At 44.9% G+C, this 22,875-nt stretch overlaps 1 annotated feature.

Moving 5' to 3' along the window:
- Nucleotides 20,282-20,457: a silencer, noted in NCBI's record as "fragment chr2:72378306-72378481 (GRCh37/hg19 assembly coordinates)". NCBI's record gives its function as "represses an EF-1alpha promoter that drives an FKBP-Casp9 reporter gene in an ReSE screen in K562 erythroleukemia cells {active_cell/tissue: K562}" and the evidence as "EXISTENCE:reporter gene assay evidence [ECO:0000049][PMID:32094911]".

Genomic DNA, 22,875 nt, shown 5'->3' with positions numbered 1-22,875 from the left:
ATCTATTGATATTGTTTGGTTGTTATTTGTATTTCCTTTTGTATGAACTATTGAGATAGTCTGCCTTTTAAAAAATTAGGTTATTTTCTTTTCATATTGATTTGTAGTTCTTTGTTTTAGGGATTTTAGCTATTTGTCATTTGCATTGCACATATTTTCCCAGTTTGTCTTTTGAGTTTGTTCATTGGTTCATATTAGTTAGAACCCTTTATTTTGCAGGTAACAAAAACCCAACTCAGAAAATATTTACTGGCTGAAAATCCAGAGGTGATTCAGGGTTAGTATGATTCAATGACTAAAAAAATGTGAAGTCTGTTTCCTTTCCTCCCCTCTACTCTGCCTTTTATGGTAAGAAGACCATCCTAAATCTTACTTCCCTCATGGTGCCTAAATGGCTGCCATTTTTCTAGATTTCACATCCCCGCACTACATTGTGCAGAAACTTCCAGTGGCTCTCTTAAAAGAACAAGGAATTTTTAATCCAATAAGCCTCCAATATTGAGAACCCTAAATTGGATTATATGTCATTCTTTTTTATCAGGAGCATGCCATGAATTTACTGCTTTTATCAGGGTTACTTGAACCAATCACTGTGGCAAGGGCAAGAAGATTACCTCCATAGGTTAAAACAATCAAGTCTCACCCTTGGAATTTAGAGTAAGGAGGTATGGATACCTACCCCCAAACAAACTGCATAGCAGCCACACAATGGGGAAGACGGTGGAAAGAATGTGGAGGAGACAGCCACAATATTCACTATGTGGTGTTTTTTGCTGTATAGAATGTTTTTGTTTTCTTCTTCTTCTTTTTTTTTTTTTTTTTTTTTTTGAGACAAGGTCTCACTCTGTCACCCAGACTAGAGTGTGGTGGCATGATCAAGGCTTACTGCAGCCTTGACCTCCCTGGCTCAAGCAAATCCTCCCACCTCAGCCTTCTGAGTAGCTGATGCTACAGGCATGTACCACCATGCCCACCTAATTTTTTTTATTTTTTGTAGAGATAGGGGTCTCACTTTGTTGCCCAGGCTGGTCTCAAACTCCTAGACTCAAGCGATCCTCCCACCTCAGCCTCCCAATGTGCTGGGGATTACAAGCGTGACCCATCACACCTGGCCGGTTTTTCATTCTTGAAATGTCAAATTACAAGGCTTTTCCTTTATGATGTTTAGATTTCATGTGATACTTAGATTTCCCCACTTCAAAATTATAAAAATATTGTACCATGTATTCTTCTGATATTTCATTTTTAATATATTAATCATTTATCAATTTGAAATTTCCTTTGATGTGAGGAGCATGATAGGGATCCAGCCTTTTCTTTTTTCCAAATGGCTAACTAGTTGTCTGCAACATCATTGATTAATTTTAAAATGTCATCTTTATCATATATTTAATTCATATTTATCTTTGGTCTATTTCTGGATTTTCTTTATGGTGTCATGATCATTCTGTTTCTGAGCCATTACCAAATTGTTTTAATTACCATATCTTTGTAGTCTGTTTTAATATCTAATAGCCCATTCCTATTAGAGGAAATACACCATACTTTCCTCTTTCAGAATGTTCCCAGATATTTATTCTTCCAGGTTAATTTTATAATTTTTTTCATTTCCAGTGTTCTATTGTGATTTCATTGGAGTTGCATTGAATTTATAAAATAATTTATAGGTTAAGGACATATTTGTAACACAAAGGCCCTGTCCATTTACTCGTCATATTCACATTCCTCAAACAGTTTAACATTTTCTGCATTTGGATTCTTCACATGTCTTACTTAGTACAATCATGAATGTTTTATGTTTTCAGTACTGTTAAAAATGAGATCTCTTCATTCGTGTTCTATGTGTTCTTTTTTGTTTTAATTACGAAAGTAGTATGTACTCATCTATCAGATTGGCAAAAATCTTAAAGTCTGATATTACCAATTATTGATGAGGATATGTAGAAACAAGATCTCATAAAGGTGGGAAGATAAATGAATACACCTACTTTACAGAGAAGCTTGGTGTTACAGATCCAAATCCCTTACTGGCAATTCAGAAATTGAAAAAGCTCATTCTTTCTTTACTGATTTGGTGCAAAATCTGACCTAATGGGAAGTTATTTATCATCTGTATTTATCCCACTTAATGTGGATATTTATACTTTTCAACACAGAAAAAGTAACATATTTGATTATGTCTATTTCCCAAACCCTACTGAGGGTGTTATATATGGCACATATGCCATATTGCCTTCCTAAAATTCAATAAGTCTTATCCTGAAACATAACTGGCCCCAGAGGTTTTGAACAACATATTGTGGACCTGTATCTAGTAGAATTAAACATGTGCATATCCTAGAGAAATCTATCCACATGTGCACAAGGAGACATGTACAAGAATGTTTATTACAGCACTGTTTATAATGATGAATAATTAGAAATAACCTAAATGTTCATCAGTGGGAAAATAGATATTCTATTAATCTAATAGAATACTACACAGCAGTTAAAATGAACTATACCTACATGGGTCAACATGAATAAACATTTTTTAAAGTTATTGACTTTTTTAAAAAAGTAAGTTAAATTATAGATAACAATACAATACAATTTAAACTTTAAAACGTGCATGAAGATGATAAACACCAAATTTGGTATAGTAGTTATCCCTGCAGAGGGAGAAAAAAATGAGGGACATGGGGGTACAAAGTAGGCTTTTTAACTTTATAAAGTCTAGTTTCTTTTTTAAAAATTAAATGAATATAGCAAAATGTTGAAATGTTTTCACAAATAGATTTGTATTCCACATAACGTTCTCGGTCTTTTTAGTGGCTGCATAGTATTCCTCAGTATGACTGTATCTTAATTTGTTTAGCCATTTCCTCATTATTTAACTTTCTTTCACTTGCTAATCATTACAAGAACTACTGAAGCAAACATCTTTGATATCTTTTTGCATATATACAAACATTCTGTAGATCAGTAATGTCAGTTGTCTTTAAAAAAAAAAAAAAAAAAAGGCTGTACCAGTTTATACCCTTACCAACAACATGGGAGAAGGTCCACTTCCCCACACCCTCAATAAGACTGTCGTGAGGAAACTGGAGTGAGGAAAAATGGCATATTAATTTTCAATTGCCAGTTTCTGTTGGGCTGAATCATCTTTCCACATCTCAGCCATTTTTAGTTATTATCAATAAATTGCCTGTTGATAACTTCATCAATTAGAAGTGTGTTCAGCTACTCATTCAAAATGTCATATGAGTGCAGTGAAGAAATGGGTAGGGCTTTTTCTGGTTTGGGGGCTTTTGGAATTTTTTTGTTTTGTTTTTGTTTTTTGAAGTTTGAGGAATTCTGGAGGTTTAAGCATAAACAATACAGGACTGGAGCAGCAGAGACCTAGACACTCTCTGTCTTTCTGTTCTGTCATCCTTAGTATGTTTATCCTTTAATAGGCACAGAAAAGCTGCTTCACCTCCAGACATCACATTCACTTTCCAGGCAGGAAGAAGGAAGAAAAGCAAAGAGATAAAGAGCCACGCAGGCTGAATCCCTTTCTTAAAAGCCTATGATTTCCATCTTTACTTAGGCTTACAGATTTACTTTTTACCCTAAAATTATGTAAGTATTCTCAAAATTATTTATTTATATTTATTTTTAGAGCTGGAGTCTTGCTCTGTCACCCAGGCTGAAGTGCAGTGTCATAATCATAACTCTCTGCAGCCTCAAACCTCTGGGCTCAAGTGATCCTCCCACCTCAGCCTCCAGAATGTAAATTATTATTTAAAATTATCTCTTCATATTACTTCCTCTTACATCTTTTTGGCCAGAACTGGATCACATGGGCACCCCCAAACCAGTCATGACCAGAAGGAGTAAGATCATCATGTCTGGTTAATACCAGTCATGGTTCATACCCTGTAAGTTCCTGCAGCTGTAAGCAGGATGTTTTATTCATAGCTTTATCCGCAGTATCTAGAAGAGTTTCTGCCACATAAAATATGCTTAAGAAATTTTGTTGAATGAACTGATTGTATGCATGAATGGAAAGATAAATGGATAGAATAGGGGCATGATATCAAGGTATCTTCACCACTATTTGAGCCAGTCTGAATGCTTTCTGCAGGGAGATGAGGGGGAAATGAATGTTGTCAAGAGATGGGGTCTGTCACAAGATCCTTGACCCATTGATCCTCTTGATGATAATTACATACTTGTTCAGTACATATGAGCAAATATTTTCTCCTAGTCTTCCACTTCCTTTTAAATAAACTTTTTATTTTGGACTAATTTTAGGTTTAGAGATAAGTTGCAAAGTGGTAGAGAGTTTCCAGATATTACTCACTCAGTAAGCCCTATTTTAACGTCTTACATTACAATGTACACTTGTGAAAACTTTTTATACCACATTGGCACATAGTATTAACTAGGACTTCATTCAGATTTCACCAGCTTTTCCAGTAATGTTTTTTTTGTGTTCCAGGATTCAGTGTAGGATACTATATTGCATTTAGCTGTCATATCTCCTTAGTGTCTTCTGGTCTGTGACAGTTTCTCAGTCTTTCTTTCTTTCCCATGACCTTAACAGTTTTTAGGAGTGATAGGTATTTTGTAGAATGTCCCTCACTTTGTGTTGAAGTTTTTCTCTTGATTAGATTGGGCCTATGGATTTTTTGAAAGAATACACCAAAGGCAAAGTGACTTCCTTATCATATATCAGTGTATACATGACATTCACATGACATCACTGGTGATGTTAACCTTCATCACTAGTTAAGGCAGCATTTGCCAGGTTTCTCCACTATAAAATTACTACTTTTCCCTTTCCAGATTCTATTTATTAGAAGCAAATCACTAACTGCAGCCTATACTGAAGGGGCAGGGAAGGGCAGGAGGGTTAAGCTTTACCTCCCACAAAGACTCTCTCAATAAATTATTTGGAATTCTTCTGTAAGAAAGAATTGTCTCTTCAATACTGTTTGTTTATTTGACCAATAATTTAAGTCACTTATTTATATTAGTATGAACTTATATGGATTTTTGGCACTTATTTTGGGCTTTCTTTTTGTATTTATTGAGACGTAACTCACAACATAAAACTCACCATTTCAAAGCATACAGTTCAGTGGTTTACAGTATATTCACAATGTTATGCAACCAACGTCGTCTAACTTCAGAAGATGTCCATCCTCCCAAAAGGAAATTCTATACCTATTAGTAATCACTCCCAATTCCCCTCTTCCCCTCTCCCTAATCTATTTTCTCTCTCTATGAATTTGCCTATTCTGGACATCTCATATAAGTGGAATCATATAATATCCAACCTTTTGTGCCTGGCTTCTGTCACTTAGCATAATGTTTTCAAGGTTCATCTATGTTGTAGCATACTCAGTACTTCATATCTGTTATGGCTGAATAATATTTCATTGTATATGTTTTGTTTATCCATTCATCCATTGATGAGCCCGTGGGTTGTTTCCACTTTTTGGCCATTACTGATAATGCCACTATGAACATCGGTATACAAGTTTTTGTTTGAACATGTGTTTTCAATTCTCTTGGGTATATACCTGGGAGTGAAATTGCTGTGTCATACGGTAACTATGTTTAACTTGTTGAGAAACTGCCAAAATGTTTCCTAAGGCAGTTGCTTCATTTTCTATTCCCATCAGCAATATATGAGGGTTCCAATTTCTCCACATTCTTGCTAACACTTCCTATTTTCCATTTTTTTGTTTATGTTTTTAAGTAATAGTCATCCTAGTGGGTGTGAAGAGGCACCTCACTGTAGTTTTGACTTGAGTTTCCCTAATGACTAATGATGTTGAGAATTTTTCCATGACCATTTGATATACAAATGGTCAATATATACAATATATGTGATATAAAAATGGTCATGATGATGACCATTTTTATATCGTATTCAAATTCTTTTTAAATTGGGCAATTTGTTTTTTAATTGTTGACTTGTAAGAGTTCTTCAGATAGTCTGGATTTTAGATCCTTATCAGATATATGATTTGCAAATATTTTAACCTATTCTATGGGTCTTTTCACTTTTTGACAGTATCCTTGATGCAAAAGGTTTTAAATTTTGATGAGGTCCAAATTTATCCATTTTTTTCTTGTTGTTGCTTGTGCTTTTGGTATAATATCTAAGAATCTAAGAAAGAACTGCTTAATCCAAAGTCAAGAAGATTTATGCCTTTGTTTCCTTCTAAGAGTTTTATGGTTTTAGCTCTTACAGTTAGGTCTTTGATCCACTTTGAACTGATTTTTGTATATGAACAATTCAAATTATATTAGTTTTCCAAACACTATTGTTGAAAAGACTGTTCTTTCCCACTGAATGGTCTTGGCATCCATGCTAAGAATCAATTAATTGTAGATGTATGGCTTTATATCTGGAATCTCAGTTCTCTCCCATTGATCTATGTAGCTATCCTTTGCCTTACGTATTTATTCTATCCTTTGGGTTATAATCCAATTCCATGTTACTTACCTATTTTGTTACTTAAATTATTCCAGGTTTGGTCACTGGGAACTCTTTCAGACTGGCTCTTGTGTGCCTTTGACATACCCTTATCCTTTTGTTTTTTGATGATTTCCTTGCTCTATGATACTCAAGATGCTGCAAGATTATCTTGTACTTTCCCTGTCCTAGCCCTAGCATTAACCAGTTCTTCATGGAGCACTGGTTCCTTTTATTGAAGAGGGGTATTTTAAAATCAAGATCTGGGTGCTGGGTATGCTCATTGCTCCTGGGGTGTCATTGCTTTTATGCTCTCAGCAGACAGCTAGATACTGTATTATGTAAGATAATGCATGTATATACAATATTTCTAGTTGTTTCTGTATCTGTACATCTCTGTGTGTGTTTGTGTTATGAGGCATACTCTCTCTCTCTTTCTCTCTCTCTCTCTCTGTCTCTCTCTCTCTCTATATATATATAAAACTTGAATTCATACTGATGTCTCCAAATGTAATCCAGTACCCCAGGGATCATTCTAGTCTTTCCTTATTGCTTATCTCTCTCCAAGAGTGAGATCCTGTCTCCTGCCATATACTAGCCATTTACTTAGTTATTCAACCCTTGCATACAGTTTCATAATTATTAACCCATACTTCCCACTTTCACCTATTTGTAATGTTTGTTTATGGCATCTTTCATCAGACAGATATTTGAAATTTAATATAGTTTAATCATCAGTCTTTTCCTTTAAGCTCTTGAGTTTTATATCTTACATAAGAAAGCTTTCTCACCCACCACTACCACCAGATTATAAAAATATTTTAGTTTCATTTTATATTTAAATATTAAATCTATCTAGATTTTATTTGGGGTTATATAAAATGCAAATATAACCTTTTTTTTCAAATGGCTATCTGAAGATCCTAAGTGCTTATTATTATCAGTCAACCCATTCCTCACTGCTTTGCAATACATGGGTCTGTTTCTAGACTCTATATTCTACTGGTCTATTTCTGTGCCAATTTGAGATCATTATAATTTATGTAACCTTAAAATATGTTCTGATATTTAATAGAGAAAGTCTCTACTATTGATCTTTTTCAAAAATGTCTAGTCTCTCCTTGTGTGTTTAGTTTCACAGATGAGCTTCAGAATTAGTGAAGTATCATTTTGAAAACCTCTTGTGGATTTTGATTAGGATTACATTGAATTTATTAAATTTGGGGGAAACTGACATCCCAACATGGTAAGTCTCTATTTAGGTCCTTTTTTATGTATTTCACAAAGGATTATGTTTTCTTCCCATAAGTCTTACATGACTCATGAATTCACATTACTCAAATGAATTCACATGAATATGCACATTATTTGTTATATATTTGAAATTATATTTCCAAGTTTATTGTTATAAACACATAAGGAAGCTATTGATTATGTTCATCATGTATCCAAAGAAGTTATTGCATGTTTTTATCAGATCTAATAGGTTTGCAGTTGATTCCCTGGAAAATTCTATTGTAGATAGTCCTAATATCCATATAAATAATGTTGAGGATACTTTATATAATTTTGTGGAAATAAATCTGTAAACCTAAAGGAAGATGGATTATGCTTCTAGAAAAATAAGTATTACCTGAATTGAACCAGGAAAACACAGAACACTCCAAAAGAGCAATAGTCATGAAAGAAGTTGAGAAAGTGGTTCAAGATCTATCACTAATATTTATATATTTGTGCTTTAGATTTTTCCTTGCATTTCTGATTTTTTTCTGATTTAATTGGCTAAGACAACCAGACAGTGTTTTATAATGGTGGTAATGGTAAGAACTTGTCTCTCCTTGCTTCAGTGGAAGTGCTTCTAAGTTAGTTATTAATTGTGAGACTTGCTATAGTTTTATCAAGTTAAGGGAGTTTTCTGCTCTTCCTACTTTACTGTTAGCTTTTAAAAGAAATTAGTGTTGAATTTTATCAAATACTTCTTTTTAGCCTCTATTGAAATCACTTTTTTCCCTTACCTTTTAATATAGTAAAATCCTAAGTTGAAACATCTTTTGGCTCATTTATTATTTCAGCCACGCTTAATCAAAATATCTTATTATTTTAGCAAACATCTGTATTTTACTTGGTAACATTTAACTTAGGATTCTTATATAAATATTCATAATATTTGTCTGTACTTAACTGTTTCTTTGCTTTTTTTTTTTTTTTTTTTTTTTTGAGACAGAGTCTCACTCTGTCACCAGGCTGGAGTGCATGCAGTGGCACAATCACGGCTCACTGCAGCCTCAATTTCCCAGGCTTGAGCAATCCTCCCACCTCAGCCTTCCGAGTACCTGGGACTACAGGTGCACACCACCATGCCCAGCTAACTTTTAAAAAATATTTTGTAGAGGCATGGTCTCACCATATTGCCTAGGCTGGTATCAAACTCCTGGGTTCAAGCAATCCTCCCGCCTCATCCTGCTAAGGTGCTAGGATTACAGGCATGAGCCACCATGCCCAGCCACGTACATAACTGTTTCTATGCTGCCTTCAAAAGGTTTTGTTTTGGTACGTAGGAATAATTTTTTGAGAAATCTTATTCTTCCTCTCTTTGCTTTAGTGTATCAAGGGTTATCTGTTTCTTGACAAAACTTGTAAAACTAACTTCATCTGGAGCAGGGGAAGATAGCTAGAGTGCTGGTCATTGATGATTTGCAATTCCTATAACATGTCAGACGAGTCTGTAGATGGAGAAGCAGTTAGGGTGGGATGTAACCTACCAAAACAGGTTACCAGACGACTTAAATTGTACACATTGTCTCTAAACAAACTCATACCCAATCTGAAGATTCTTCTACTCTGAGAACAGTGCAAATGAGGATGGAGATGAGGAGCATATTTAAGTATCAACTGGAAAGGTGAATTAATGAATTAATGCACTTCTAGTTCACTAAGTAGCCAGGGAGGTGGGAAAATGATAGAGTTGCTAAAGCAAAATATTCCAGAGGAGGATTGGTTTGAAGGAAGATGGGGAATTCAATTTTGGACATGTGTGAAGATATTTTTTGGAAGCTTGGTGAAGGAAAGAGAATGGATGCACAGTGCTGTCGCATGGTTGTGTAAAACAACAAACCTAGCTCCATTGTGTAAGAAAGGGTACATGAACTCCCCAGAGTCTTTTAATTCTAATTACCATGCTCTTTCCTTTGCATCCCATCCTTTGTGAAATGTCAGCCTGGAGTTCATTGGCATTAAGAGAAAGTCTTTCTAGGCTAAGAGAGATATTGGCTTGGTTATAGACAGAAGGGGAGAAACATTTAGAAATAGCTAAGATAAAGCTGTTTGAGATAGAATTGAGTGAGATCCTGAAGTACCTAAGAGATAATTTATTCAGAGAAACACTTATTGACAGCATAGACACTGGAACCATGAAGAAGAATGCACAATTTCAGTATTTAAAGTCCTTTGAATCCATCAAGAGAAAGGCTTATATAATTAACTGCTTGACTTCCCAGCTCCTACCTATACAATCTACCTCACTCCTTCCTCACCTCCTCTCTCCCCCTACCCCATGGTTTCCTGAGGCAGGAACCATTTCTGCCTTAATTGACAAGGTTGACGGGGGCGGGGTGGTGGGGGGGGCGGTGGCGGTTGTATAAATGAGAAAGAAGGAAAGGCTTACAGTGATATAATTACTAGGATGGTCTGCACAGGATGTTCTGTAGCACCAAGGAAGGAATGGCAAACTGGAAAACTTCACAAAGAATATGATACTAGATTTGGATTTTGAAAGATAAGTAGGAGTTTACCAGGCAGTGAAAGGAGGATGTTTAAAGCAGAATGATATTAAAAGGAAAGATGTTCAGAGCAGCGGTAACTGCTATGTGTAAAGGCTTAGGGCACTTTACACCTGTCAGACTGACAAATCAGACAGTGGAATCATGCAAGTTGAGGATGAGGGAGGCGGCACCTTTGTGAGCTGCTGAAGTGTTGGACTAGAGCAGCCCTCTGGAGAGTCACCCGGCAGAACTTGTACACACGTCCCCAAGGACCTGGTAAGTTCCCTCCTGGTTAAACACGTGGAGAAAATGAATTCACTGCCACTGTAGAAATGAGCAGTTGGAGGCAATCTAGGTGTCTGTCACTCATATTTGAGAATATTTTGCAGCAGTCAGAAGTAATAAACTAGAAGTACATGAGGCAACATGAAAAAATCTCAAAACAGTGTTAAATGTCTTTAAAGATCCAAACAAGAGAGCTGTATAGTGCAAGATCATTGATGAAAGTTAAAAAGGCATCCATACATAAGACAGCACTGTTTTTAAGGATACATATCCACCACCAGGGCCATACATCAACACAATGGAGTGTGTATCTAGGGGCAGAAGCTGAGGATCAAGAGTGGGGCTGGCAATTGAAGAGGAAAAGGAAACTAGAGTAAAGCCTGCACTGGCTGAAATGTTAAACTGAGTAGTATGATGATCACCTTCCTACCCATCCGGTCTAAATGAAGGCCCTATGAGTATAAGCTGCATGGTATGCTTTCTTCACAGAAGAAGCTGGGTGAGGCCAAGGGAGCCCAGAGCTGAGGCTGGGACAGAGGCTGCAGTCAGAGTGCGGCCCGGGTGATGGCCCCCAATCCTGAAAGGCAACAGGCAGCTGCTAACAGCTTTTAAGCAGGAAAGAACATTTTGTTTTAAAAAGGATAAGGAAAGACTTGGACAGTGTAATGTTTAGACACCTACTTTAAAATTACAGGAGAAAAATACAGAGATCAGAACGAGTGTAGGTAGGAGGGGCAGCACAGCGGTGGGTAGTCTGGAATGGTGCCCTCGGTGGGGTGCCCTCCACAGGGACCCACAGTGTACTACCTTCTTTTGGAAGAGAAGCAGTCATTGGTGTCACCCATCTCAGTAAACCTCTTGAGGGGTGGGAAGGCCTCCAGCAGCAGCGAGGCCAGAGTGAGGTTGTCTCTCCCCTCCTAGCCCATTCCCTCCTCCATCCCTGGCTACGCTGGCACAGAAAGCAGAAGACTCAAGTTCTAATTCCACTTCTTCCTTCTGGTTCCAGAAGTGACCTTAGACAGGTCACACCTCTCTGGGCCTCACTTCCCTTGTTTTCCCTTTTCAGCTTACACTTTCGTTGGCTCCATATTATTCCCCTAGTAATAGCCCCCAACAGGGAAATCTTGCCCCCTCTCAAAATCCCCCCAAGTGTCTCCAAAGTCCTGACATCCTCCTTAATCTTCCAGATCCACTGCCCCACCTTGGTAAGGAGGAGCAACAAATTGGTATCGTAATGGCCCTGCTGATTGCATTATGGGTGTCTAATGCAATATGCCCTCATGAGGACCATCCATCAGGGCACAGCCCCTCCCCAGTCCCTGCCACCACAGTCACATTAGTCAGGCAGCCCATTCATCACTACCGCACACCTCCATGGAGACTGGCCTAGACAGATGAGGGGCCAAATCAGATTTATGGGGAGGGATCGTGGAAAAAATCAGCCCCATCCATCTCTCAGACACTGAGGAGGGAGCCCTGTGTCTCCACTCCCTCCAAGCCTCCTTAGGGAACGGGTGCTAATCGAGAAAGCAGCCAAGTTGCCTTTGTTTTCCTTAAGGCCCATTCTTGAGCCTCCGTGTTGCCTAGCACAGCCCTAGAACTGGCTCCTCTAGGAGGTCATAATTTTCGGAGCAAAGCCTCTGCCAGGATCGGGACACAGTGCTCGGAGTGGGCCACAACTTTGGAGAGTTCCAGAGCATGTCTTCAATGGGTTTCTGGGTTGGTTTGACTGCTGCAAAGAGTGTGGGGAGGAGTAGGCACCAAGCTCAGTTTAGTAATGAGGCCAGGCCTAGGACAACCTTCACATGGAAGGGTGACTTCACCCCAGCTTTCCATCTGGGCCGAGGCCTTGCTCTGGGCTCGTTTTAACTCTCCCTGGCCAAACTGAGCGACTCTCCCTCAGTGGATGGGGAACACATTGAGTGGATTGAGAATGGGGTGGGACAAGAGGGGCAACAACTACCTTTCAGGTCCCTGGATTTGTGGAGCCTGAGGCTTGTATGATTTGAGGAAACTTCCTTAAGAAAATAACATAAAATTATTATTCTAGGGCTTTGAAAGGAGCCTGTACATATGAGGGTCCCTAAAGCTTCAGCTTCCTTGGCTTTGCCATGAATCTGTACTGGCTGTGTGCCTGACACCCTGCCAAGTGCTTGGCATGCATTATCTTTGTGCATGACCCTCACAACTATCACTTGTCCAGTAAGGCAAGACTTATTCTCTCCAGTTTTATAAGAAAATTGTGCCTCAGAGAGGTGAAGTGACTTGGCCAAGACTGTACAACTGGTAAGTGACAGAACTAGGTCCATTCAACTCCACATTCCACTGTTGAATGAGCTCTGCTCACTCCTCTGGTCCTTGGCCTGAGTTGAGTTGCTTAGTTATGTGGTGGGCTGGGAGGAGCCTCTGGCCCAAATGTCCCCCGTCTCCACAGTTGCTCTATAACCAGTGCTGCGGCTGCCCTGGAGTGGGGGTGGAGAGCGATCAGGCAGACGCAGAAACAGGGACAGGAAGGGTGGGAGAAAGCCTTGTAACAGGACCGCAGGGATCAGTGGATGAGTGCTCTAAGCCTGGGGCTGCCCTTCCACCATAATAGTCAAGCTTGCCTCCCCCAGACTGACCATGGGCCCACGGGAACTGGGTCCTGGTGGGGAGAGCTCAGAGGCTAAGCAGAGGGGGAAGCCCACATCCCACATCTGGGGGCCAGACAGAAGGCCATGCAGGGTCTTTTCCTATTGGTGTGGACTTCTGAGAAGGCTGCCCCACACCACGCCCACATCCATTCTAGCATGACTTCCTTTTTCCTCTCCACATGTGCTCTAGTGTGGGGTCCCTCACAAAGCAGCCAAGCTTCTCTGGGTAGGAAGGTCCTGAGAGTGGTGGATGGCCCTCCTCCTGCCAGGCAAGAGTCTCAGAGCCATGAAGCTCAGCCCCTGAACCAACTCATGGAGAATGGGGAGGGGCTGGGCATGTGTCCTGGGCAGAGATCATGTGGATTTCTGGGAGCAGGGGCAGGAGCATCTGTGAGAGCAAAAATGTGTGCATCCACCCAGCAGAGGAAGCTTTGCCAGCTTTCCTCCGCTCCTTTGGTCTCCATTTGGTGGTCTTGCCAGGGAGCTTCCCCACAGTTGCTCAGAGCAATGCCTCATCCCTATCAGAGGCTATACCTAGCCCAGGGCTGTCTGAGCTGGTGCTTTAATAACTAGCATTATCATGTGAAGACCTTGCCCAAGCACCTCCATCCTCCTCCCTCTCCCTCACCTATCACCTGCCCTTCTGTCCTCACTAGCCTCTAAATGCAAATTTCAGGTGGAGGCTGAAATTGCCAGCTTCCGAGTTCCTTGATAACCCTGAGATTCTAAGTATTAAGGGGAAAAAGCTGGGCATGATGGCTCACGCCTGTAATCTCAGCACTTTGGGAGGCCAAGGCAGGTGGATCACTTGAGGTCAGGAGTTTGAGACCAGCCTGGCCAAGATGGCAAAACCCTGTATCTACTAAAAATATGAAAATTAGCTGGGCACGGTGGCACATGCCTGTAGTCCCAGCTACTCAGGAGGCTGAGGCAGGAGAATCGTTTGAGCCCGGAAGGCGGAGGTTGCAGTGAGCCAAGATCGCATCACTGCACCCCAGCCTGGGCGACAGAGCAAGACTGTCTCAATAAATAAATAAATAAGTACTAAGGGGAAACAAACAAAAGAAATAATCACTTTCAAGTGAGGCTAAACGGGATGTGTGGGCAAAGGAAAGAGGTTGCTGTTTCCCAGACTCCTTTCCTCTCTTTGTATCTTCAATGCTGGTGTTTCTGGGGCTCTCTCCTCTCGGTGTAGGCTTCTCTACTCCTGTGTCCCCCATTAGCATGTGAATGCAGATGATGTCCAAGTCTCTGTCCTGTCCAGATCTGTCTTCTGCACTCCAGACCTCTATGTCCAACAGCTAGCAGACAGTTCCATTGGCATATCCCTTCACCACCTGGAGCCTACTCTGTCCCAAACCAAACTCAACATCTTGTTCCCCAAGTCTTCTCTTTCTCCCGAGTTCCCCACCTCAGTACATATCATCACCACACACCCAGTTCCCCAGCCTGGAATCCTGGCCTCGCTCCCTACCACCTGCCCCCACCCCTAATCAGTTGCCAAATCTGTCCACTTTTTAATTCTAACTCTGAATATTTCTAAAATCTGTACACTTCTCTTCATCATCACTGCTACTAGCTTCATTTAGTCTTTAGTATGCCAGCTAACAGCTCAGATTCTAATCCACATTCCCTGGATTTGAATTTTAGAGGAGATTAAATTTAACCTCAAAAGTACAGATGGATGAACTTGGGCAAGCTACTGAACCACTTAGTATCTCAGAGTCTTCCTCTGTAAAGCAAGGATAATAGTATCTACCTGTCCACCTCCTGGGGTTGCTGTGAGGGCCAGCTGAAATAAGTGAAGTGCTTTTTAAACTGCCTGGCAGGTAGGAAGGTGCTAAATAAGTGTTAGTTTTTATTACTTTGTTATTATTATCACTTTTACTGTTATTACCTGAGTTATCACCATAGTCTCCTAACTGGTCTCCCTGCCTCAACTCCCACTCTGTTCTAACCCATTCTCCACACTGGAGAAGCACCTGAGGCCTAGATAGGTAAAGTATATTGCTCAAGCCAGTAAGTGGCAGAGCAGATTTTAAGCCTACTTCTAACTGACTCCAGAACCCTTGTTCTTAGCTACTAAGCCACTCTGCCTGTTTGGAAGCATGAAGAATTAATACATTTGGAATAGCAGGATAGTGAGGAAAGAATGAAACCAATGGAGGGAAAATTAGAAGAGAGACTCAGAGGTGCTCCGGATTTTCCATACAGAAAGGATATCAGAGCTGCCATCTGGTTGCTGGGGGTGTGGCACCAAGGAGCTTGTATTGAAGCTGGGTTTGACAGAAAGCATAGAGCTTTGGTGGGGATGCTGATGGACACAATGTACTAGAAAGGCAACAGTTCTTCCAAGAACTTCTTGGGCAGAGTGGTCAGGCCCAGGCAGTGGGGGACCAGGTGAAATCTTCACAGGCATGTGCCAGAATAACCTTGGCTGTCAGAACAGTGGAGATGGGGAGTGGGAGTCTCGCCGGAAATTGTTCTCTTATGCTCCAGCCGCCACACCAGTGTCTGGAGAAGAAACTAGCTAAAGCTCCAGCAGCAGGGCCCCTGTGAGCTTGGAGCTGGGCTGTAGGCATGAGAAGAAAGGTAGATATTCAGGCAGGCCACCACCCAGCCTCTCTGCTCTGCCTCTCCATCTCCTGAGAGGCGGTGGGCAGGAGTCTCAGCCTCAGGCGAGAGGAAGTGATTTGGTAGCATTTTGGACTTGGGAATGGAGAGCTCTGCCAACTAGATTCTCAGGTTGACTCTGCTCTCTGAGGTCTCTGGGCGAGGCTCCTGGTTAGTTGGCTGGTCTGCCTGTGGTGGGCTTATGAACAAAAGCCAGCTGGGAACAGCAGGCAGGGTGGACTTGCTTCAGGTATCGTCTCCAAGCTCTAGATAAGGGGATATTTTTCCTCTTAGCCTTCTGCACCTGAGGCTGGTCACTTAGGTTGTTGGCTTCCCTTCTGCTCCCAAAGAATGCGAACCTCTGAGATAAACAGTCCAGGGCCCCTGTGTGCTCTGCTTCCAGGCCAAACCTGCCCCCAGAGTCCATTCTTCTCCATCTAGCAACCCTCGGAGTTCAAGTGCAGGACAGAACTTTGAATGGCAGGGAGAAGCCCACCCCATTCCTGTCCCAACTGTACCCCTAAGGAGAAGCTGGCTGGACAGACTGAAGTGAGCAGTATGGAGGGCACTGGATCTTGGTAAGTGACCTCTCAGAGGAGGCTTCCCTGGCATGGGAGGCTGGAAAGAGAACCTGGGGGCCCTGCGGGAGGAGGCTGTGCCCCAGCTTGTCTGATTCAGCCTGTGCCAAAATGAACAGTGTTCCTTTTAAAAATCAACAATCTTGCAATTTCTGGGATCTGTGAGATGTTTGTAGCTTGGGTGGAGGGTGGGGGGAAGCAGTTTTTAACACCAAGCAACATGAAGACAAATTCACTGAAAGCCACCCAACCACACCCCCCTCTTTTCATATCCGTGTTTTACCTTCGACAAAAGCTCTGGGTTCTCTGTCATGCCTCTTTTTTCTTCCTGGATCCCAATTGTCAAGCCTTCAAGAAAATGCACTTCAGTCCTTTGTCACTGAGTGTAATTTGATAAACTGAGCAGAAACACACTGCTCTCCCCATCCTTTCAAAAACTGTTACTGCCAGAGAAAGAGGATGAGGGAATGAGATCTGAGGTCTTTGAATGGACGTTTAAGCACGAGCACATGCCCACTCACACACACACACACACTCACACACACACACACACACACAGTCTCGTACACATACCAGGACATACAGTTGCCTTGGTGGGAGGAGGTTGAATCCCAGATTCTTGTGTGTGGGGCCCTGGCCCTGGGGTCCTGGGACGAATGCCCTCCCAGCTCCTAGAGACTCCCCTAGTTGCAGGCCCTCGTTGCAACCGCCCAGTAGGCGGTGCCAGGGCAGGTTTCAGGCTATAAAGGGCTCTTGGCTCCCCGGGCCTGAGGGAACGCCATCACTGCAGCAGTGTCGCTGCCAGCCACAGCCAGCTTGGGGCACTGCCGGTGTCCCATTGCCACCGAGCAGGCTACTCTTTTCCAGGCCGTGCTGATTTGGACACAGCTGTCAGCTGCGTTCTTCGCACCTACCCGTCCTCTCCATTGGCAAGTCCTTTTTTGGATTGCTTTCACTGGGGTTGGGTGTGGGGTGGGAGGAAAAGGACTGAGTTTGGGGCTTTGACAGGGGATGATGGGGGTATTTCCACTTCTTTTTGAAAATTCCTTTTGAGGCAAGTCTCTGAAGCTGAGATTTCTGAGATGAGGTATGACGTGAGGCTTGTTTCATATTCAGGCAAAGGGGAAAGAAGCAAAGTTCTTTCCCAAAGGCCACCGCCTTCGTAGAAGGCTGCAGAGGAGTGGGTGAGGGGCTCCCTCCTCACTGTTCCTCTCTGAGGGGCTGGGAGTGAGGGGCCAGGCTGTGCCTGCATCTGGCTCTGCCAGGTAGAGATGCCTGGATAGTGGTTGTTATCTAAAACAAAACGAAATCAAAATCCGAAGATACCTGGGGGTGGGGTGGGAGCAAGTGGCACTAAGGAACAAAGAAGGAGAAGAAGCCAGCCTTTAGGAAATAAACACACAGAGCCCAGAACCCAGCTCTGTTTCAGCAACACTGAAACAGCAGGATGGCCTCTCCAAGGCGCGGGTGGGCTGGGTGGGTTTCTGGCAGGCGGTGGTTTTCGGGGGTCAGTGAATTCTCTACACAGCCTCAGAGCCCCTGAAGCTGCAAGGGGTGGGGGGAGGAGAAGAGTTTAGCCCCTAAAGGCAGAATTCCTGGTACCGCGGTGATTTCCAAGCTGAGCTGGGTTGAGTGCCACCATACACCCCTATCCCCACCCAGCCTGGACAGCAGGGATCCCAGCCCCTGTCAGAACAGCCAGGGCACAGGCAGGGAGCGCCCTCTAAGCTGCCCTTGAGGACTGGGCACTGGATGGGGGCTGCCGATCTTGTGGCGCCGGCTCTGGAGGGAGGGCACGAAGTGGGGGAAGGGTAGGCACCTGGGCCTCGGGATGAATATCTGGGGCCACAAGCTGGGTTCCAGGGGAAAGCGGCATCCCTGACCCACCGGAGTCACAGTTTCTGCTCTGGCTCTGGAGAAGGGTCTGGGCAGGACCTGCCGCCCCAGGTCCCTCTCCTCCATAGCTCCTCAGAAATGTCGTTTCCCCATGGGACTTGGTATCTTGCAGGCAAAGGGCCCCGCCACTGTCAGGCAGTGTACCAAGAAGACTTAGAACAGAAGGGAGCCAGCCCGAGGCCCTGGGAAGAATGAGAAGGAGCCGAGAGCTGAGTTTTCCAAGGACTCCTTCATGCCAGCAAGGCAGGACAGGACTAAGAGCAAAGAGCTCCCTGAGGCGAAATCCTGGGCTTTGTCCCTCAGGCTAGACAGCCCAAGGTGCAGGCCAGAGGCTGGGAGGGCTTTCGCAAACTCTTCTGGTCCCTGAACACACGGCTCTGCCTCCTGCTCACTGCCTCCTGGTCTCTTTGCTCTCTGGACTCCCTGGCCAGTAGGGCCAAGTGGTCGTCTTGATCCTGGACATTTTCCCCCTTTCTGTTTGGCTCCGGGTGGAAGGATTAGAAATAATTTTAGGGGAAAAAAAGCAAATTAGCATCAATTGAAAAAATTCAAGGCCAAAACTATACAAAATTGAGTGTAAAATTGACAGCTCCTTCTGTTGTCGGCTTTAGTTGTCAGAAGCATGGACATTAAACAAAGAGAAAGCTGCCGAATGGACAGGATCTCATGGCTCCTGGAGATGTGTGCTTGTGTGGTGGGAGGGGAAACAGGACAATACAGTGTGTGTGTGTGTGTGTGTGTGTGTGTGTGTGTGTGTGTGTGTGTGTATGTGTGGCGGGAGTGGGCATTGAGGGACTCTGGCCCTCTGTTTTCTCATCAATGCAAAATGTAACAAGTAAATCTAATATCTAAAAATAGTATTATCTCACTATTTTATCTCACTGAAATATAATAGCTGTGGAAGAGAATTACTGGCTACACAGGACTGCACGCATGTAAGGGACTTGTAAGGGGTAATGCCTTCATTCTCCTGGGTGTAGCAAGTCCAGGGCAGACAGTACCGCTGTGTAGCTTTGTGTCTTTGTGAGCAGCAGGACTTTAGGCAGACCTGCCCCTGTATGCAGTGTTTTCTGAGCTAGGGAAGTGGGTGCAGAGGCTGTGCTTGCCCATTGCCTGCATATTCCGAGTGCCTGAGGCCTACCTTCTGTATTTCCCAGGCCCTTTCTGCCAAAGACTGCAAATGTCACCAGGCAGAGCTCCACTTGAACCAGCATCTCCTTACTCATGTCCCAGGCTGCTCTGACTGATTTCAAAGTGCCAGAAAGGCTACAGGGTCGTGTGACGCAGGCCCTGAACTGCAGCACTGCAGGCAATAGCTGAAGCCTGGGGGTATGCTCTGGGCCTATGGGAAAGAGTTGTCTCTGTGTGTGTGTGTGTGTGTGTGTGTGTGTGTGTGTGTGTGTGTGTGGTGGGGCGTGGCAGTCTGGGAGTTCCTACAACCAGCCCGGAGGGAGAGGGATGACCACTAGGCAACAGGCTTATCATCCCAAGGCTAGAATGAGGCAAATATTCCCTCCTAGAACACACTTGTGCTCCCAAGTGCCTCAGGGGTTGAGCTGTGCCGCAGCTTTGGGGCAGTCTACAAGGGGCCAGTCATACTTTTGTAGCCAAAGTGATACTTGGTAGTACTGGGATTCAGTCTGGACTTTGAGACAGGGTCAATCTTTGACCAGGATTAAGGATCATTCTGGGATTAGACTCAGAGGTCTGTTTTAGGTCAGGGTTACAGGCTAGACTGAGGTTTGGAGCAGGGCTCTGTCTGGGATCAGAGTCAGAAGTCTATCTGAGGTTAATGAAAGAAAGTCCTCTGATGGAATCTGACTGGCAAAGACAGTTGCCGAGCTTTCTCTGTCCTAGCCACCCTCTTCACAAGCCTGTCCATGGCCTCAGCACCCCCACTCTCCACAGCACCTCCAGGAAGTCTTAGAGTGGAGTACCATGCTCTCCTTTTCATCTTTCCGAAGTACTTTTTGAGATTTGAGCAGAGAGGCGGTTCTAATTAGGAAATCCAGCAACTATTGCTGTGGGGCTGTGACATCCCTGCAGACTTTCCCCAGGATCCCACTTGGCACAGGGTGTAAGGACTCAGAATTTCTCCTCCACAACCCTCCCAACTCCTCCTCTATACCTGAACAGGAAAAGAGGCTGAGCAGTGGAGGACAAAAGGGCACAAAGCCACCCCCACCCAGGAGTGAGGGGATGGGAGGAAGGCAATTGGCGTGTTGGGGGACTTCTGGGGCTGTGATCCCCACACGGCAGACACCTCCTGTGGTCTCTTGGGTTGGTGGCTGGAAGGTGGGTGTTTTGTGACTGTGACAATGATCCTTTGTGTGTGTGTGTGTGCTCAGTATCAGCCTGTACATCTATCTGCATCTCTATAAAGCTGTGTGCATGTCTGTCCTTTAGGAGATGGAGATTTCCACAGGTGAGTTTTCCTGGGTTACCTTGCCCATTTCACCACCTTGTGGCCAGTGCTGTGTCTGGGGGTCAGGCTAGATTCTTAGAGCTCTTCAAGCCAGCAAGACCTTAACAATCTCCCCCAACCCCATTTTATGTTAGCCTCATCCTCAGATAGGGTGTGGGGTGGCTCTGGCACTTTGACGTGCCCTGTTCAGATGTGACTGTTTTGTGAAACCACCCTGCTTCGAGGGTGCTTCCTAGCCCCCTGTTTCAGGACCACAGTGATCCTGACAGGGCCTTCGTAAGTGTCCGGCCCCAAGCATCCTGGGGTGGACGTCTGAGGTCACTGACACAGGAGCGGGGTGCTTTGGGAGCCTACAACCCGGCCCTTTGGAGCTGATCTCCCACTATGAAGGGCGAGTGCGGAAAGGGAGCAGAGGGAATTGTTTCCCCGAATCTGTAGTACTATAACTGCCCACCAGGTGGGGTTCCAGGGCAGAGAGTGAAGCCGAGGTGACCCAGCGCTAGGAGCTAGACCAGCGTTTAGATCTCCTGCCACACCAGCCTCGGAAGCGCTCACACAGGGAGGGACAACACATCTGTGCGCACCTTAGACGCTCACACACATTCTCGTCTCGTGAACTCTAAAGCAGAACTCGTACTGGGTGCAGGCAAGGTGTTAAAAGCGGAGTCTAGTATCGTTGACACACACACTACTCTAAACTAAAGATGGGATATCGACTCTGGCTCCGGGAGTGTGAGAGTGAACGCCAGAGCCAAGGGGGGCTGAGGGAAGCAGGATGCACGGGAGAGAGAGGGGCAGACATTAGCTAGACCAATGTCGGGGTTGCTGTACGCAGCTCCATGTTAACACAGGCTCGCAGGAGGAGAGGCCAGATGACAGATGCACGGATGCGCAGACACACTCATGGCTCTACAAAGAATACACAAACCCACAGACATACCACGTCGCTCCTCAGACGTCGGGCCGACGCAAGGCCACGCGCGCGAACACACAGGTGCGGCCCCGGGCCACACGCACACCGTACACAGGCACGCGCGCCGGGCCCTCTGCTGCCAGCGCTGAGAAGGTGGCCGTGCTCACCCAGCATGTTTATTTACTCATTTGTATCAATGAACGTTTGTGCCCGTCTTCTCCCGCCTCTGGGTACCGGGGCCGCCGCGTTTGTCCCCGCGCAGGACACTTGCCGGACCAGTATCGGGGTTCCCCGACGCTGCGGGCGGTGGAGGGGGACTACAAAAGCAGGGGAGGGGGGTCCCAATGTGCAGGAAAGGAGGGGCTGCAGAGTCAGCAGCCTGGGACGCTGACGGGGACAGGAGAACCTCCAGGTTCCGTAGGGTAAGAGACATATGGCGGGGGCGGACCTTAGCATCGGAGGTGTGAGGATATAGGGATCGGGAATGGGGGATCTGGCTTAGGGGGATTGGGACTGGTAACTCAGGGGTCCCTGGAGATAAGAGCCAGCGGGATCCCGGGGGTTGGAAGCTCGGGACCCTAAGGCACAGTTTCGAGGGCTTTGGGCGCCTGCCAGTCGAGGGGGCAGTCCGGCCAGGACCTCCGCTGCCGGGGCTTCGGCCCAGGAGGGACTGCTCGGAGCTGGAGGAGGGGACCGCTGACCTGGGAAGGAGGAAAAGAGGAAGGGAAGGAGCCTAGAAGCCAAGCAGGCACTAAGCGAGTGCGCACCGTGTGTGCGGAGGTGTGTGTGTTGTGTGTGTGCGCGTGTGTGTTGTGTGTGTGTGCGCGTAGGTGCGCGCGCGTGTGTCTCATCTCGTCCGTCTGTAGGCGCTGGGCTCAGCGAGACGCCGGCGAGAAAGAAGAGGAGGCGAGAGGTGAACTGAGTTTGATCCTGCGGCGGCTACAAGTGGGTCCCGGGCGGGCTGCGGGCGGCGGGCGGCGGGCGGCCGGGGCGGGGCGGGAGGCCGGGCTGCGCTCTCCAGCTCCGGCCGCGGGCCCGGCCTCTCACCACGCCTCCGGCTTTGTGAGCGCGCGGGTTGGGGCGGGGGGGTGCTGGCGGGGCGCCCACGGCGCAGCCTCCCGCCTCTATATAAACACACGCATCGCCTCGCTTTGGACTCAAATTCACATTGAGAGAAGCTTTTAAAACCACCAGCCCTGAAATCCTGCCTCCTGCTTTTCCCCCTCTTTCATTCCTTTTGCCTTCCTTTCTTTTTTCCCCATTTCTTCCCCCAGCAGCAACTCCAGAGCCGAGAGACCGCGTCCCGGGACGGACTGC

This window comes from Homo sapiens, chromosome 2 (genome assembly GCF_000001405.40).
Source record: "Homo sapiens chromosome 2, GRCh38.p14 Primary Assembly".
Classification (NCBI taxonomy): domain Eukaryota; kingdom Metazoa; phylum Chordata; class Mammalia; order Primates; family Hominidae; genus Homo; species Homo sapiens.
This window is presented reverse-complemented; position numbering and strand designations above follow the sequence as displayed.